Source organism: Homo sapiens, chromosome 9, assembly GCF_000001405.40.
Source record: "Homo sapiens chromosome 9, GRCh38.p14 Primary Assembly".
NCBI lineage: Eukaryota > Metazoa > Chordata > Mammalia > Primates > Hominidae > Homo > Homo sapiens.
This window is the reverse complement of record NC_000009.12, coordinates 123755204-123775075: the sequence shown is the minus strand read 5'-3', so window position 1 is coordinate 123775075 and position 19872 is coordinate 123755204. Positions and strand designations below refer to the sequence as shown.

At 38.3% G+C, this 19872-nt stretch overlaps 1 protein-coding gene across 41 annotated transcripts in view; it reads left to right on the top strand.

The window, feature by feature from the left end:
• The window catches only part of DENND1A (DENN domain containing 1A), a 550469-nt gene that overhangs the window by 155051 nt on the left and 375546 nt on the right, over window positions 1-19872 (top strand). For 34 of the 41 annotated variants that reach the window (XR_007061334.1, XR_007061335.1, NR_148208.2 and 31 more), the window contains 2 exons: window positions 5513-5562; window positions 17254-17373. Coding sequence is in view for 38 of the 41 variants with exons in the window: in NM_001352965.2 (NP_001339894.1) it covers window positions 5513-5562; window positions 17254-17373 (170 nt within the window). In the remaining 3 variants the exon portion in view is untranslated. The remainder of the gene's footprint in view (window positions 1-5512; window positions 5563-17253; window positions 17374-19872) is intronic. The other 7 variants (XM_047423625.1, XM_047423623.1, NM_001400449.1 and 4 more) reach the window with 1 other exon arrangement.

The following is a 19872-nucleotide window of genomic DNA, read 5'->3' as shown; positions in this document are numbered from 1 at the left end:
GATTATGGAACAACTTTGTTTTAGCTAAGTTTGAGAAAGAGGAGGATGCAAAAGGATAAAGTTAATTTTGTTAAAAAGTTTTAAAAATAAGATGGAGTATTTTTGCTTCAGACTTCAAAGGTCATGAAGGTGTATAAAGTGGTTTCAGAGGGGTCTCTTTCACTGTTGAAAGCCTTCTTCTTCTGCACTTAATGTCCTTGATAATTTAGATACACAGTTTATATGAAACATGTTTATAGAGTATGATGAATTTATTATATTTATCTTTGAATTACAACATTAATACTGCATATTAGGTATTACATATAAAATTGCATAATTATAACATGTATATGACTCAATTAACTGAAGTTTATAAAAAGTAAACTAGGGGTAAATATTGAAATGTACCAAAGAAAGGAAGCAGACTCTGTAGCATTTGAGCAGCATGTTAGAAATTTGACCCGGCTTTTATGTTTGGGTGTTGAAAGGCCTTTCTGTAAAACCCCTTATTCCAGGCTTCTTTTTCCCACTGAAAAAAAATAAAAATTTGGTTGTAATTATACTATGGATCTTAGATTTAATTTGACACTTATAGTGAAGGAGAAAAATTTTATTTCCTGTGTTCACATTTAGGAAACTTCTGATCAACATTCTTGAACTTGGTGCTAATTAAGCTTCCAGGAACAACTGCTTTACCCTTCTTAATCATAAGCATTTAAAACCTTTGTGAGCTTTCACTGGAAGCCCCTGGTTTTAACTTGAAATGGCTTAAGGTAGAAATTTTGTTAGCTTTTTTGTATGTTTGGATTTTGTGTGTGTTCTGTTTTTAACTTTCAACTTGAGTTTTAAGATCGTCAATCAGGCTTTTCTTTCAAGTCAGTGGCACTGCTTGCAATTGCAGGACTTAGAGGGTCAGCATTTCCCTTATGGTATTAAAAAAAATTAAACATAGGGAGTATTTTAGGAATTTGAGCTCCACTGATCTTTTCATCACACACCTACATTTTGAAATGAACAAATAAATTAGATATAAGAAACCCAGGAAATGTTCTCCCATGGTTTCCCTTCCCCTTCCTCTTTCACTGTCGTTTTTGGACAAAGGTAAATTATCAACTGCTATATCGGCTTTCAGCAAGCCACAAAGAGGCTAATTGTGGCTTTACATATTTTAAAATACATTCATTTATTCAAGCTATCTCTTCTCTTTATTTAAATGTTTTCCTGCACCATGTTTTTCCCTTTGAACTATTGCAAATATGCCTCATCTCCCTGCATTCTGTAACTCCAGTGGACACTATAATCACTCTGCACTTTTATCTTTCAGATGGCATTTATTTATGGGGTGTGTATGTCTGTGTCTGACTGTCAGTTGTTTTCATCTGCCAAATAAAGCTAATTTTTGTTTATAAGTTTCAATGAAGCAATGAAAACAAAGTATTTGACATCTGGAATGTTGGTCGTTGCAGGATTTCCTATAGCCCCCTACCTAGCACCCCAAGGTCAGGGTGAATTAGTCTAGCCTTCTCATTAATAATCCCAGTTAACTTCATTGAATTTGGTCTTCGAGATTTTGCTTCCAGATAGGATTCTATAATGGATAATATTATACATTTAAAACTTTACTGGGTTCTTAGGCTCAGTATCAACAGAATGTAATCTAATTTCTCCAGATTGGAGTAAATTCGGGCCTTCTGACCGGATGAGAATTAGAATTGGATGAAGTGAATCCAAAGTAGACTGAAATGAATCTTGAGTTCATTTCTGAATTTCATTTGCAAGTGTATCCAGCGTTAGGTGTGTTAATTTCATATTTTGGTTCATACTCTGAGGCTTGGTGTCTCTTGTGGGCAGAGCTTTGTAGATGTTACTTTTCTATTACACTATGCAATCTGCTGCTTCATGTATGCATAACTGAAAGATTTGTGCAACTGCCTCTCTAACACACTTCCTCCCTGCCCCCTCTGCTCTTATTTCTTCCTACATGAAGTATCATATATTTTGTTAGGAAGAAAAACCCTTTTGGAAATTGCCTATTTCATAAATTGTCTGGTGACACAAAGGGGTTGAATGCTGTATTCTTGTCTCATTTATTTTGAAAACTTTGCTACTGAACTCACCTTAATCAATGAGCTCAGTGTTGTCTCCAATAAGTTATGTGTTGGATATATTGATTGGGAGGGATTTTAGAAAACCCGTCTGGGGTTTATAATGTCAGCAGTGTTTTGATTATGAAAAGAGTTGGAACCAGGGGACATGGAACCAGGTGGCGAATGTCCTAAAGCCAGTGGTGACATGGTGGACTGGTTTCCTCCTGGGATCTAGTTCATGCCCTGCACTTTAACTGTGGTGACTGGCTACTATAGATTCACTTTTTTGCTCATTAAAATGTTAAAAAATCAAACTGTACATAAAAAGATTTGTGAAAATATAAACTTGGGAATTGATCTGGAGAGCTGGCACACAGTCCTCCCCACCCCCTGCCTTAGCAATGAGGTCATTTACATTTCATCAGCTGTGCAGCATCCCCAAGATCCGATTTATGTGGCAGTAGTTGAAGTTGCACCGAGGCTGGTTGTCTAAAAGAGCTTGTGTAGGCAAGAGAAACGGGAAAGAGAACAAGAAAATTACCTTCTACAAAGAAAGTGCCCTAGCCAAAGACACAAGTTCTAGAGAGAAAAAGGGGTTGGTAACTGGTTAATGACTGTTGTCCCAATAAAGTTAATATTGAAAGACTGTGGGACACTGCCATGAATGTGGTACTCAAAATATATTTAAATCAGGATTTTAAAGCCCCCACTCTTGGAGAGTGGTACTTTTCATATTCGAATAATTTTATTTTTCTTTGGGAAAAGATGATAAGACATGAATGTTTATGTGTAAGGAAAACATCAGTATTAAGAAAATGGGTTTATTTAATTGATTTATTAAATTGGTTTATTGCAGTTTTTATTTACAGAGAACATTGCTTGTTTTTCCCTCCCTCTTCCTGTCCTCCCCTTCTCAAATTAAGAAGTAGATACCTCAGTTCCAATTGCGATAATATGTGAATATGCAGAACACAGAGTAGATGCTCATTTTTGTTTTTTCTTCTGACAGCACACCACCATCTTGTTTGACTTAAATTGGAATATCAAGCTCTTGTAATATCACAAACATGAAGGAACATATTGTAATGTACCAACATGTGCCTACATTGCCTATATTCCCTTTCCCCCTCCCCTCCCCCCATCCTATTGCTTAATTAGATTTACTGCTGTTTGCTTAGATAAAAAGGAAAGCTGGTGGGTGGTTACACTCAGCCTACATTGGGTATTTTGATATTTGTTCTAATATTATCTGACAGACAAGTTCAAGGTTGGTTATTACTCTTGACATTAGAGAGTGGTAAGAAGTTTCTATATTGTAGTGAGTAATAAGTTGGGCATATTAGATTCCTTTGACTCTGCTGTAAAGCACAATGCCTTCTCGTAGCCAAGGGGGTCCTTTCTTTCAAAAATCTTTGAGGCCTTTTGCCAGTACAACTCCAGCATAGAGTAGAGAAGTGCTTTCTGCACCTATAACTTTTGAGGGGTAAAAGATAGCTTTCTTTGTAGCTGATATTGGCAATGAGTGAGCACTGAATACTGAGTTTTAAAGAATGGCTGTTTCATATACTGAAGTTAAGAGATGCTTTCTGTTACTATTCAAAACTTGAAGTGGAAGGAAATTTGTAAGGAATTTGTGTGTGTGTAAATCATAAGGGTTTTGTGTATGTGAATTGTAGTATACTTTATAATTAGCACAGCAGGCATTAAATGTTTTATGTGATCTGTTTTCCTATCTTTGCCTGATAATAACATTATGCACTGAAAAATTGCCTTTGTTCTGATTCTGTATTACCTATTGCAGTTTATCTAAGCATGATTAGTTTATAAACAATATATATGCCTGAATGCCACATTATAAAGTTAACTAATATATAAGTAATGTTTCTTAGGATATGCTGAGGTGTTCTCATCCACTCTTTTTCACTTCTTAGTTTCCTATTCATTAATTACATTATTTCATGACATTTCTTAGCAGTGCTGTGATATACATAGTACCAGTCCAAGATGATATTAAAAAATAGGATATGCTCAATTGAATTATGTAGGCGGAACATGCTCTGGCAGAGCAAGTCAATGTGCTTTCTGCTTCATTGAGTGGGTTATTAGATTGATGTGGTTTATTTCTTGAATGATAGAACTGGTTTTAAAAATAAATGAAGCGAGAAGCATCAATTCAGTTAGCATTGATAATTCATTATTATTGGTTAGAAAAGTGCTACATTTGTAAGCTGATCTTTAATTTATCACTTGGATTAGGGTTTGCAATGGGCAGGTTTGTTTTAATTTGAACCAGCTTTTCAATGACTGAAAAATGTGTTCTTCATTTTGTCTTGAAGTTGGGATTTTAAATAGTTAAAAAGCAAATCAAGTGCATGAAAGGAATACTTTTTTAAAATTTATAACATTGGTCTATGAACTTATGATAAGCACCAACCGTGGGCTGTCCAAGTCTGAAGTTAAATTAAGTTAAGCTAAGGAAAATTCTGTGAAGGAAATAATAACTAACTACCTGTCTATGTGGTTAGCTGTGTGTATATGTGCTATATATATGAAATGTGTCTTTTAGGGAAAGTTATACACCACTGTTTATTGTGTGTCATGTACTGTTTTTTTCTGTGGTAATGTAAGAAGATTGTCTTCTATGAATAAGTTGTTAAAATGTCACCTTACTTTGTGTACCCTAATCCTGAATAATGTGCTTGGCTTTATGTACCTATATATGTATTTTTTTAGAAAGACATTTAAACTGGTAGTTTGCTTTAGATTTTAATACATTAAAATTAGGTGAGTATGTTCAAATATGGTGATATTTCAATAAGAATAGTATATACTTAAAACTGTTACAGTTTGGTTCCAAAATAAATATATGCCCAAAATGGCAACTTCTTTGTAAAGTAAGTAAATGAAGTTTTAAACTCTAAAAAATGTAGCTGACAGTGTTCAGGGACAATTATCTTCAAGTTGGCTTTCGATTCTGCTGTGATTTGGCCTATTGATGTTGGGAAGCGTTGTCTAATCCTGGCCCCCTCTGTTCCTAGGTAACAGGCAAAAACGGTGCCAGCAACAGCGGCCCTGCCAGGCCAAACCCATGTGGCTCGGTGTTATTCACTCTGATCCATATGGTCAGGCTGGAGATGTTCCCTGGAGGGGTGTTAACACTCAGCAACCCAACCGCCTCCCTCCCTTCAGAGCTTTCCTGCATGGCTCCTGCTGCTTGCCCATGTGTGATTCTTGATTAATTTTTCATTTTTAATGAAGTTTGATCATGTTTATTATTTCTCATGATTGACTGCCTGGTACTCCTCCCATGTAATTGATAAAGCCCATATTTCTTCATCTGTCTCCTCTTTCTTTAGGGTAAAGTTGCTAGATTGTGTGCTGTGGTTAATGTTAGATTTACTGGTCCCATTAGATGTATAAATTATCTCTCTTTCTCTCCACAGGAAGTTCTACAGACTTTGACCAAGTTTTGTTTCCCCTTCTATGTGGACAGGTAGTGTCAGATTTTCAAACTTTACTAGAAAAAAAGTATCAATAAACCTGCTATAGAAAATAAAAACCATACCATTCTTAACATTCTGTCTGTTTAACCATGATTTAAGATACCTGTGTTCCAAGGAGAGTTGCAATATTCTCCCTTCCTGGGGTTTTTATTGACACTGTCAAAAAGTTTAAAGCTTAGAGCTTTGCATTGGTTAGTTTGTGAGATGTATTTTGTATGGCATTAAAGTTTTGATTTTGTTATCAGACTTAAACTGTGATTAAGAATGGTTGGTATTTAATCTCTTGCTATTTAATTGTTATTTAAATATGAATATATTTGGCTTAAACAAGTAATATTACTTGATTCCAACGTTTTGTATTATATAGACTTTGTTTTTCCTAGACTTCAACTTATAATTTAAATCAGCCTAGCCCTATCTTGTTTAAAAGTATTCAGCAGGGAATATTGCTAAATAGTATTTTATATTTTGTTTAAGTGGCTAAGAATGGTATCTCTGGGAAAAAGAGAATTTTCTATAGATTTTGAGATTAAAAGTACAAAACCACCTAAACATTTCCTTAGTATTTACATTGTGATAAACTGTTTCTTAGATAGGTACAAATATGAGAACTCTAAGACAATTAAAATAGTCTGAGGTTTTTTTTTTTTCTTTTTAACGAGCCACTGGTTAATGATAAGAATTTTAGAGGAGTTTTTTTTTTTTACTTTATAAAACTAATGTATTAACTATATTAATAAAATAACAATTATTTTATTTTCAAAAAATGTCTACTCTTTTTCATTACAGTTGAATCATTAGTTTTTTACATTCATTTATTTGCCCATTTGATTGTTGTCTCTTCAGTTTTCTCTTAATGGAAATTTGAACTATGAAACTGTACATACATTACATCTTAACAAACCCACTTTTATTGACAGAAAGGTTATAGAAAATAACATTGTAAGTAAGAAATGCCATAATATGGTCCAAGAAAGCTATAAAATTTGTGCTTATCTTCAGGAAGATTCTATCATGTATTTTAGTGTACCCAAACAAGGCAAAGCCTGTAAGATTTCAGTGATTTAGAGTATATGTGGGTAGTATGCTGTTTGCATCTTTTCTACACATTGTAATACCACTGTCGTGGTTTATTTGGCATAAACCTAAAAATGGTATGAGATGAGAATTGGTAGCCAAAGGAGTTTAAAAGGTACTAAAAAGCAACTCTGGAATGTTGCCAGCCACTTCTAATCACTGCTCTCCCTGGTTCTAACATTTTATTTTTTCTTAAGCCAATCAACCATTATAGTATTTCCAGACTCAGACCTTGTAAATCCTGGTACCAGGAATATTTCAGTAGCAGGTTGATGCTCAAAAAAGAATAGCCTTAATTCTAAGAGGGTCAGTCTTTGTAATGGGAGTCGTCTTGTCTCTTCTTTAGCCTATTCCTCCTAAAAATGCAAGGAAGTAAGGTTTTGTTTAGAGATATTTAATGCAAACTTCACATTTATATGTATGAATTAGCTATGCATGAAATCTCCTCCAGCCACTTATAAAATGTATGACAAATTATGGCAAAGACATATTTATAAAAAGTAATAAAACTGAAATGTTTTATAAATGCAGTTAGGTGTTTAATAAAGAAAAATAAGAGAATACATTTTTACATGACTTCTTGTTAGAGTGGTGATTTGTTTTGGATAGGTGTTTCTTAATTGACTTTGTTAACTGCTTAAGGAAGTGAGCAAGAGAAAATATTTTAGAGTAATCCTATTAATGTTTACTAATGTTAGAAGAAATGCATAGAGATTAAACCTCTGTCTTCCCCACCAACACACATGTGCAGGTGTGTGTGTGCATACACACATACACACACTGATTCATATTTCTTTTTCTTAGATGTATACCATACACACACTTCTACTTACCTACCTGTCTGGGTGATTACATTCTGAAATGGAAGAAAAGCAGAGTCCTTAAGTGATAATTCTAAAATCTTTTTTGTTACCAAAAATATCTGATGCCTTTTTGTTGTTGTTAGAAATATGTTTTTCTTCCAGAATCCTTCTCTCCAAATTATGTTCCCCTAATCATGTTCCTTTTTTTTTTCTTTTTTACAAAAGGATTTGAGGACAGAAATGTTTCTTTTTGAATATTTCATTCCTTACCATGTACAATAGTTCTTTCTTACATTGTATTATATTACATACCCTATGGGTGTTGATAACTTTTATTGATACCAAAAAATCATTTTATGTGGGGACTATATATTTTCTTTCTGTTCCCCCACCTCTAACCTTGGTATACTTTAATACAGAAGAGATAATAATAATGAATAAAGTTCATTTGTAAGAAATATAAAGGTTTCAATGTCTTAATTTTTTTATTAGTTTGCAGTTAGCACTGTCAAATGGATATCCCCAGATTCTGAGGCCCATAAAGTCCCCTAGATGGGTTTATGATATTGTTTGACTTAGAAAATATGCCAGCCTGGGAGACAAGTAATGCCCCAGGTGATTGCGTTCAAAAAAGAAAGCTTCCTGATCTTTTCAGTATCTGTGCTTTTCTACCCCAAGGAACAGTCATAAAACTTTCTGACATTTCTAGTCTATATCAAGAGGTGGATTTTCACAGTCATCATCAAATCACCCGTTAACATTGACATCTTGCTGTCTCGTGTGTTGTTTTAAGATTTTTCTTTTTCAAACTAGGACTTAGGAAAAATAATAAAGCCAGTAGCTTTTCAAAAGAATGTGCTTCCTCATATATTATCTCATTTTATCCTCCTATCATAAGAGATAAGAGCAGGTGCCATTATCTTCATTTGAACAAAATTCTAAGCTGCAGAGAAATTGGGACTTGCCCAAGGTTCTCTGAGCACAACCTAGATTTCCATCTCCCAGACAAATACGTTTCAGTAGACCACCTTGCAGGGAAGACCAGTCACCAAATATATAGAGAAGAAGGAAAGGAAGGAAACGAGGTTTGATTTCCTTATCGATTCTAGTCAAAGTGCTGGATGCTGCCACATCACTGTCTCATTTATTCTTCCTAGAAGCTCTAGGAGATAGATGGTGGTATCTTTTTTACAAAAGAGCAAAGGAAGGTTCAGGATGTAGAGCATTGTGTTGGGTAATATGGGGGATAACGGAAATGGTCTCAGACTTGGAGCCCTGCCCTCCCAGTCTAGTCCAGGAATTATAAAGACATATTAAACAGGATCGACCCAAAGGATAGTGAGGTTAGAGAAGACCAAAATGGTCAGAGAAAACTTCTTATGGTGGGGGAGACTTGTATTGAGTCTGCCAGGACAGCAAGAAGTGGGCAAGTGGGAGGGAGAGCCTAACACCCCATCAGCACTGAAAAGCAAAGCAGAGGAGAAGCCCCGAGTGAGCCTAGAGCTTGTTCAGCCAGAGCAGATGGAGCTCGCTGGGGAGAGGGTGACTGTGAGAACCTGGGCTCTGGCCACAGGAGGCCTTGAAAATGTGTGGAAACAAGACCACAGGATTTTAAAACTGAAATTCATCTGGTTCAAACTCCCCATTTTATAGAAGGAAAACCATGATCCACAGAGGTGAAATGACTTGCTTATGGTCACAACTATATAATTTACAGGGCCAGGAAAGGCACTGGTACTCTATTCCTAATCCAGAGTTATTTCTACCCTACAGTGTACGTGAAGCTGTTGGTGAGAGGGAGTAGTGAAGTGTCAGTGTTGAGATTCCTGTATCAATCTCAAAAACTCATTATTACTAATAAAAATAGTCTCTTAAAAAAAGACTTGTACCATTCCATATCATGTTTGCTACTTGCTTGCCCTTGATAGCTGACAACCAGCTTCAGTTACTCAAAGCACTTGAGACATGCATTGGATGATGGAAAAGCTATTCTCTTCCATTTTTGTGTTTATCCTCTTTCAGAACCCTGAAAGTCAGCTACCATTCCATTTTCCTGTAAATTATACTGGCACACACAACTGACAGGATAGTCAAATGCAATGAAATAATCTTTTCAGGGCCAGAGGCATCATTTAATGGTCAGGATGTAACCCCAGATGCAAATGTGGCTCAAATGCTACTTACCATTTTATTGGGCATCTGTTTTGTGCCAGGCATTGCCCTATGTTCTTTTCCTGTAATAAAAGATTACAAATTTGTAAGGTTACCATTATCCTCATGCCACACAGGAGGAAACAGAGGCTCAGATAGGCTTGATAACTACCCAAGGTCTCACTACCAGTTAGTGGTATAGCTGCTTGCAGAACCCTCATTTGTCTGACCTCCAACTCCACCATACTTTCCCTGTTTTACCATACTGCCTCCATAAGATCCATCACAGCATAAGTAGCCTAACAAACGGTTTTATTTCAAAAGCAATAAAGCAATATATATTTATTGTAGAGAAGTAGGAAACTGAGAGAAAGAAAAAAATGAAACCCACACAGACATAGGACCAGTGTATTAACATCTTATCTTCCCAGACCTCTCCTCTGCAGATTCACCCTGCTCTCCTTTCTAAACCTGAACCCACTGGGCCCTTGAAGTCCCTTGGTTTAGCATACAATATAGGTTCAGCTGTGCCCCATGATTATTTTCTACAGTGTTGATGACAACGAAGCAGCTGGGCCTTAGTGGACAGACTATTGTAGGCAGCAAGCAGGAGATCTGGGTTTTGGTTTTGGTTTTACCACTGCCCTGCTCTGTGCTGTGAGGCAAGTGACTTCTCCCCTGAGGTTCTTCATTTTTTCATGGATAAAATGAGGGAATTGGATTCCATCAATCTCTGCTGTTCCTTCTGCTTTTGATACTTTTAAATTCTGCAGTTATGCTTCATGTTGACTTTGTCAGGCTCATGTAGAGGGAATGGACAGAGCTCTGCTCTTAGAATTGTCTGGTGAGTTTCTCCAGCAGGTAGGCATTGCGTTCTGTCTCGAAGTGTGTCACTTACTGTTGGTCCCCTCATATTTTGGGTCCATGTCATTCTCACCACTTGGATCTTTGAGCAGGGAAGGTGAGAAACTTGAGGCCTAGGCAGATGTAAGGTGTGTTTGTGGAAGGAAGCTTTGAGGCTTACGGAACTAAAGGCTGGGAGATGTGGTAGTTTGATGAAGCTTCATTCCTGCCTCATGCCTCATACGCACTGAAGGAAAGGAAAAGTGTCTGTTAGGTGCCCTGCCATGGACAACAGATAATTGTCGGTAAGCTATAATACATAGAGGGGGACAAAATGCTTCAGTTCTATCTCTTGAATTTTATAATTGCATAACAGTAGTGATGATCATTTTTGTCAGGTACCTACTATATGCTAGTTATCTTGTATACATTATCTCTAATCTGCAACCACTCTGCAAAGTGATGTGATTATTCTGATGATTTACAGATGAGATCAGAGAAGTATAATAACTTGTCTATGCCCACATAACTGCTGAGTAACATGTCTGGGATTCTGATGTAAGGTCCAGGCCTTAATGTTTTCTCTTCTGTCCTGCATCATAAATCTCTGCCTCTGCTGAATCATTTCCAACAGCTTAAAAACAAGTTCTGGTATTCATCCTAAAAATAATAACCACCACTCAGTTGCTTTCTGATTCTCTATTTTTTGAACGAGTTATCTACACACTTCAACTTATCCTTCAGCCTTCTTCAGCTTGTCTTCTGCTTCTGTCATTCAACTAGAGCTGTTTTTATCGAGGTCATCTAAAACCTCCATATTGCTTAATTCAGTAGACATTGTTTTTTCTTCTTCTCATCTTTGATGCATCAATACAGTTGACCACTCCCTCTTGTTTGTTCTGCTGGCTATTCTCCTTTCTTTGGTCTCTTCTCCACCCATCTTCTAAATTGGTGTTTCTATAAATTAGTCCTGGATCCTCTTTTGTTTCTCTGAACTCCCTCCCTAAGTGATCCCAGTCTTTACCATGGTGTTAAATACCATCTGTTTGTAGATGACTTCCAAATTTGTAGTTTCAATCCAAACGTTTCCTCTGATTTCCTAACTAGTGTATTCAACTCTGTACTTGACATTTCTATTTAGATGTTTTACAGGCTTCTCAGACTTAACATATCCCAAATGGAACTCTTGGATCTTCCCCCAAACTTGTTAGTCTTTCCTATCTTCAAATGGTAATATTCTGCCTTTTTGCTCCCCAATTCCCAGTCCATCTGCAAGCCTGTCATTCATATCTGCTAACTATAACTTGAACTATCCATCCCTCTCCATCTCTACTCTCCCTACATGAGTTAAGCCACCATCCAGTCTCACCTGGACTACTGCAATCACTTCCAGATTATTTTCTCTACTCCTACTTACACCTTCTTCCAAACTGCTCTCTGTATAAGTCAGTTGAAATATTTGAAGCTATAAACCAGACTGTGTTTTTCTCTTGATCAAAATCATTCAGTGGCATTCTATTGCCTCCCCCCACCGCCAAAAAAAAAAAAAAAATCTGAATTCTTTACCATGACCTGTGGGACTCTCTGTGTGATCTGGAGCTTGCTTTATCTAGCAGCTTAATGTGATGCCACTTTCCCCTTTATCTCCTGTGCATTAGCAGGACTCCTGTCCTTTTGGTTCCTTGATCATAACTAGTTCTTTCCAGTCCCCAGAATCTCTGCCTAGTTCTTTTCTCTGCCTGAAACAACCCAGTGCCCTGTTTCTTGAGTGGCTGCTCCATTTCATCCTTTGGTCAATATTGTTGCCATCCCTGAGAAGCTACCTCTGACCACATTATCTCAGTAGGGCCTTTCCTTCCCTTCCATTTTCCTCTATCTTCGTTTCTTCTTTGGTTTTGTAATACCACTATTACAAGCTGTATGTTTTGTGGTATACTTGTTTATTACTTGTCTCTATCTAGACAGAAAGCCTGCAAAGGCAGGGGCCCTGCCTATATTGTTCAGTGTTGTATATCCAGCACTTGTTACAGTGCCCAGTGTAGTTGTAGCTCAATTTGCAAAATGGATAATGAAACTTAAAGTGAAGCTCACATGTAAAAGTTTGTTTCTCACTGGGAGACTAGAATCAAACTGTCCATCCTCATGCTTCATACCATTCATGCACTGGCCCTGTAAACAACTTCAAGATTAAGCAAAATGCTACTGGAGAGGCCCTGAATGGCTGATAGGCATTTAAAAGGAAGCATGAAGGTTTAGGTCTGTGGCTTGAATAGCTATTGCTTTTCTCCCTTGTTTTTCATATTCACCTAGGCACGGGAAGCTACAAGAAGCACAGCTAAGGCTGGTCTTGGCCCTGGTCTCCTGGGTTTATTTCTGGAGAACTTCAAATGTGGTCTCCCTAGCTTAGTGAAAAATATGGTTTTTTGTTAAGACAACTATCTGAATTCCTCGCATACCTTAGTTCCTTAAACCGAGTTGAAAGCTTCCCAGGGAGGATTTTCATTGTGTTTAGTGCAGCGTGGCAGAATGGAAAGGACTTTGAACCAGAAGTTGGCTTGGATTTTTGTCCTAGTCCTGATAACCTTGGAAAACAAAATGAAAGTAAACCCTAAATATCAGTTTTCTCATCTGTGAAACATGAGAATTGGGTGAGATGGTTTCTCCTAGCTTCCATCATCCTGAAATCTCTGGTTCCTTTGGAAATTATGGATGCTGAGGTAAACTCAAACTGCAGACTTTAAGGAAGCAGACCCTTTCCCCAAGGTCATTTTTATGGAGAAATAGTGAACACTCCCATAGACTACCCCAGCAAGTAGGAGAGAGAGAATGATAAATTCCTTGGAGATTCAGAACCCTTTTAAGTTAACCTCTTTGACTTCCCTTGCCAGACCTTTAGTTTATTGGAAATTGTCCAAGGAAACAATCTTTTAGAGCCTACTGGTTTTGGGCTTTTGTCGACTTCTACTTCACCCTACCAGGAATTAAAAAAGGGAATCAATTGAGAATAAGTACCTCCTGGTAAGCTGTGGCACCCCAAAAAGAATCTTTTTCACTGTAAGGCAAGCATCAGTCACTTGGTCACCCAGAGGACTAGCCTTTCCTGAAAAATATGCAACAGGCAAGAGAGAAAAGAAAGCAGACTTCTTCCTCTACTCACAGATATTATAAAGCTGAATCAGGAAGATTCTAAGCAAAGGCCTAGTTTTTAATGTGAGTTTTAGTTTTCACAGTTGGCAACAGCTTGCGTCCCTCTTTTTAATTGTTCCTACTCTGGACTGACCTTTATACTAAATTCTTTTCCATTTATTCTCAAAACATCCTTTGGGTTGGATGGTAGTGTCTCATTGTTATTCCAGGTGAAGAAACTCAGGTGCTTAAAGGTTTTAAGTAACTTGCTAAATTTAGTCAGTGATTGAGTTGGGATTTGAACCAGGTAAATGAGTAATGATTCTTTCTCTGAGCCTGTAGGGTAGCTAAACACATTTCCAGCATTTTTAATAGGAATAAAAAGAGAGTAGGAAATTAATGACACACAATTCACAAGTCAGGTGCATTCATTCTCTGTCTTTTTCCTGGAGAATCCTGGGTGTTTTCTTTTCATCGAGTCCTATCGATACCCTTCCTTTCTAGGATGATACTTAGTATTCATTTTAAACATTCTAGAAGTGAAATCAAAACCTGAGTTAAAACACTGAACAATCATATTTTGTATGATCACGTAGTAGTGTTTCTTAAAAGCACAACCTTATTTGTAACTTGGAATCATCCAGACCTGTTGCTTTAAATATTTTAATAAAACAGGATTTCCCCTCCCCCATTGAGGCCCACTTTTCTCCCCAATCACTTTAATTATGTGAGCTAGAATGCTGTTTCTCACACATCTTCAGTTCTCAACCTTGTTAAAATTAATCATATAATCCCCCTTTAAAACATAGTATTAAATCACCATAGTAACACAGTATCCAAGCTTTATGGATAAAACATAACAGGCATAGGAAGGTAGCGTTTGGTGTCCCCTTGACGGCCCTATAACTTTTATAGAAATGTGTTTCTTCTCCTGGCTGTGTAAGGTGGAGGGATAGCATTACTTACACCTGCTTTATGACCACGTTGCTTTTAAATTGCCACCTTGTTTTTGTTCACCTTCCTAGTTAAATAAGGAGAGTGGAACACTTTTTCTTTCTGAATTATTTTCTTGTACTCTCTAACCACTCTCTAAGAGATGGAGTTGTCTCCTTAAATATGACCAGGCAGAGTCCATTGACCTTTGTATTGGAATACCTTGAAAATTCCTTTAATTTTAATTATTTATGTGGCTGTATAAGGGAGTTTTAGAAAGTCTACCCTATCTTTGAAAACTTTATTCATATCATATCCAAAGACTCAATAAGAATTCTACCTTTGGAAAAAGCTTGGTAAACCATGATTTTTAAATTTCTTCTGATAATTTATAAAGTAATAATTGATAGCATAGATTTGACTATTTTACCAATTTGAATACACTTTGTAAAATACAATATGAGTTGATGAGTTCCTTTGAATAACTCAGTGTTGAATTCTAGCATATTACGTTAATATAAATTCATGTATTAGAATTTGGATTTTTTAACCAAAAATACCTTTATTTTAATCTTCAGAGAAAAAACTCTTTTCTTCTTTTTCTGAGATAATTACTGTAACTTACAAAAATGGATATACATCTTCAAAGGATTTCCCTTGAATGCGAAATTTAGCTTTATGGGATCTAAGCATTTAAAGGTAAAAAGCAAATTCTATTTTGTTGCCATTATAAGACAAAACTGAATCTAGCATAAGGTAGGGAAACCCATTCACTCTTCAGGTTCTTCTCTGACAGGAACTAGCATTGTTATATTATTTCCACTTAGCAAAATCTGCTCTAATTTAATTATACTTCTTCCTGGCCAGGCGGTAATCCCAGCACTTTGAGAGGCTGAGGCAAGCGGATCACTTAAGGCCAGGAGTTTGAGACCAGCCTGGCCAACATGGCAAAACCTTCTGTCTACTAAAAATGCAAAAATTAGCTGGGCGTGTTGGTGCACGCTTGAAATTCCAGCTACTCAGGAGGCTGAGACATGAGAATCACTTGAACCCGGGAGGCAGAGGTTGCAGTGAGCCAATATTGTGCCACTGTACCCCAGCCTGGGTGACAGAACAAGACTGTGTCTCAAAGTAATAGTAATAATAATAACAACAATAGTACTTCTTCCTTCTGGTGTGATTTCAAACTCAGTGACCTCTTCTAGTCCATCTTGACAAAGTCATCAACTCCTAGAAGAGTACCCACGATTTCTTAATGACTCTTCACCACAATGTGAATTCTTGAGCCTATACATTTGTCTACAAGCTCTAGCAGCAACAGCTGGGCAAGTAGGTGGTAGCCTTAGCCGCCATAACTGTGACGGAAGCGGGATGTTTAAATTTTTAAAATGGAATGAAATCCAAGCTAACTGGTAAACTGATTTTAAAAACTGGATTTTTAGACATTTTACAACTTTAAAAAAAGAGTTTGGCCGGGCGCGGTGGCTCACGCCTGTAATCCCAGCACTTTGGGAGGCCGAGGCAGGTGGATCACGAGGTCAGGAGATCAAGACCATCCTGGCTAACATGGAGAAACCCCGTCTCTACTAAAAATATAAAAAAATTAGCTGGGCATGGTGGCGGGCACCTGTAGTTCCAGGTACTCGGGAGGCTGAGGCAGGAGAATTGTGTGAACCAGGGAGGTGGAGGTTGCAGTGAGCTGAGATCACACCACTGCACTCCAGCCTGGCAACAGAGCGAGACTACATCTCAAAACAGAAAAACAAAACAAAGAGTTTCTGTAATCTGATTAGTATTGTTTTTAAAATTTTTAAAAATAGATATTTTAATGTTGCGTTTATGTGTGGTTTTTAAATTTTTGTATTGATATATTTTTAGCTTTTTTCCTTTAACGTCTTTCTTTAAAATGTTGTTTCCATTTCTTAGAAAACACCATGCAATGCTAGACATTTTGGTTATTTCTGTCCTCTAAAATAGGAAATATGTTTCTCATAAATTCAGAAATTATGAAAGATATAGGAATTTAGGAAAGTAACACCTAAGCTTGCCCTGTTTTCTTTCCAGTTTCAATTTCAGCTCCTCCTCTTTGTAGCTGTGTGAACGTGATTCAGTTACTAAGGATGTATTCTGGTCCTTAGTTTCCTTTTCTGTAAAATGGGAACATCCTCTAAATTCCATGGTTGTCCTGAGAGTCAGGGAGATGGTCTACGCATATATGATGTCTAACTTTGTGGCTGGCACATAGTAACATTTACCTTTTGCTCTGGCAAGCACTCTTATTTTCTGAACTAGGGAAGTTCTCAGGTGAGGATTGTTAGCAGCAAGCTGGTAGAGTGGCCTGTGGAATCAGCGCGAGGGTTAAAATCCAGCTTTTTGCCACTGATCAGCTGACCTTAGGCAATGCCTCTCTAGACTATTTCTTCATCAGCAAAATGAGGTTAATAGAGGGCACCTTTCGGAATTGATGGGCTGACTAACAGAGCTGCCTCAGAGACTGAACTCAGTAAGGAGAAGGTATGATAGCTCTGATTATTTGATTTCTGAGGTGGTCACTAGAATAGGCTGCTGGCTGTCTTTTTTTTTTTTTTTTTTTTAACTAGCTTACAGTCTGTTCCCTTGAAATGTGTAAATTTTAAGAGTTCCACTGAGAGAGGAAATGTTATAAGTTCAACGACTCATTGTGATTAGATACTTTATCAAGAAACTTACTGCACATTCATTTTCCCCTTTGTTCTGCCTTTGCTGCAGCCTCACAGTTAGCCAAGTTGGCCAGAACTTCACATTCGTGCTCACTGACATTGACAGCAAACAGAGATTCGGGTTCTGCCGCTTATCTTCAGGAGCGAAGAGCTGCTTCTGTATCTTAAGGTAAGGGAGAAGGCTTGGGCTGTTGGCTTGTTCTCTGAAGCAATGTCAGCTTCTGCATTGCTCTTCCGTAATTAAATCTTCCAGCTGTTCATTTCATTTTCCTATCTGTTTCCCACAAGTCACTGCATTTGGGGAGAAGGACTTCACAGTGTTGTTCTTGCACTGTAAGTTCTGCAGATAATTGTATTTATTTATTTGTATCACATCCCTTGGGTGGGAAAGGGGACCATCTCTTCTGAGTAGTTTGTGGAAGCCAGAGAGTCAGTGTGGCTTCAGTGCCTTCTGCTGTTATCTGGAGCTGTCAGAAATTAGCCTGTTAGACTTTCTCTTGGACATTTTGTGTATGTAAGATTATTAATAAAGTATGTGTCTGTAGCTCAGGACATCTTGCAGACACAGACTGTGTCCGCCTTAAAGTAACACCCTTGCCCCCTTTGGGTCGGTGAATGAAGAACTGTGTCCCATTTTGGCTACCTCTGTAGAGGTTTGAAAAAATTAAGAATCGTGTAAGAAGGCTTCTTCAGGTCTTCTAAAAGCCCCTCATACACCAGAGCCACACTTGCTTAAGGCTCTGTTTCCTCCTGCCAGAGGGGTAAGGCATGTTCTGAGGTGGGAGGATGTGTGGAAATCCGATTTTGGAGCTGCTGGCTCTGTGGACTCCTGCTGGGCTCCTCCTGAGGGGGAAGTAAAGGCATCCCCCATGCTCCCCTCTCCATCTGCCTTGGTTAAGTAGGTGTCAGAGGGGCCTGCCTCCTGTCTCTCTCTGCTCATGTGGAACAGCCAGGGCACAGCAGCAGGAGGTGCCCATGACAAAACCCGGGCCCCCAGGCTTGGGTTGGGCCTGGGCCTGGGAATAAAAGGCCAGACCCTCTATGGATTCCAGAAAGGGTAGCTCTCTGCGGCACTAGTCTCTGCACTTTCTTCTTCTCATCAAGAAAAGACTCCCCCACTGACTTCTGTTCCCCAAACCCACACACCCTCACACCACAGGGGAGGAGGGGCTGACTTTGGAAGTTCCCAAGCTCACTAACTGTCAATCTGGACTGCTATACATTTGCATTTCTCTACACAAATCTTAGTATCATTAGTGCTTTTAATCAGTGAAGTCGACTCTCTTCTGCACCAAGCATAGCATTTGTAACCTGGGCACAGGAGGATGACTGCTGGGGAGGCTTTAGGAAGGAGGCTGCTTTGGGAGATTCTGTGTGTTCTGTTGTTCTCAAGCACGCCTTAGTAGCCCAGGCCCAAGAATTACCTGCCCAGAGCATTAGAATTTGATGTAAATGATTATTTACATTTGGATTGAACAGTGCAGTCTTTTTCTTTTTAAAGAAAAATTTCTCTTTCAGTTTTGTCTGTTATATTTCAGCCCTGGCCAGGCCACTGCATATTTATACAGTTGACCCTTGAACAATATGGGTTTAAGGGTACTGGTACCCTCACACAGTTGAAAATCCACATATAACTTTGACTCCTCAAAAACTCAACTATGGCCGGGCACGGTAGCTCACGACTGTAATCCTAGCACTTTGGGACGCTGAGGTGGGTGGATCACCTGTGGTCAGGAGTTTGAGACCAGCCTGAGCAACATGGAGAAACCTGTCTCTAACTAAAAAATACAAAAATTAGCTGGGTGTGATGGCACATGCCTGTAATCCCAGCTACTTGGGAGGCTGAGGCAGGAGAATTGCTTGAATCCGAGACATGGAGGTTGCAGTGAGCCAAGATCGTGCCACTGTACTCCAGCTTGAGTGACAAGAGCGAAACTCCATCTCAAAAACAAAACAACACAAAACCCACAAAAACTTAACTACTATTCCATAGCCTACTGTTTACTGGTAGCCTTACCTGTAACATAAACAGTTGACTAACACATATTTGTATGTTGCATGTCTTATATACTGTATTCTTACAATAATTAAGGAAGGGAAAAGTTATTAAGAAAATCATAAGGAAGAGAAAATATATGTACTGTTCATTAAGTGGAAGTGGATCATCATAAAGGCCTTCATCCTCAGCATCTTCACACCGAGGAAGAAGAGGAGGGGTTGGTCTTGCTGTCTCAGGGATAGCAGAGGTGGAAGAGGTGGAAGGGAGGCAGGAGAGGAAGGTATAACTTTTACTTTAAAAAATCCACATATTGGCCAGGCACGTGGGCTCACTCCTGTAATCCTAGCAGTTTGGGAGGCTGAGGTGGAAGAGGAGGAAGGGAGGCAGGAGAGGAAGGTATAACTTTTACTTTAAAAAAATCCACATATTGGCCAGGCATGTGGGCTCACTCCTGTAATCCTAGCAGTTTGGGAGGCTGAGGTGGGCAGATCACCTGAGGTCAGGAGTTCAAGAACAGCCTGGCCCACATGGCAAAACCCCATCTCTACTGAAAAAAAAAAAAAGAAAGAAAGAAAATACAAAAATTAGCCGGAGTGGTGGCAGGTGCCTGTAATCCCAACTACTTGGGTGGCTGAGGCATGAGAATCGCTTGAACCCAGGAGGTGGAGG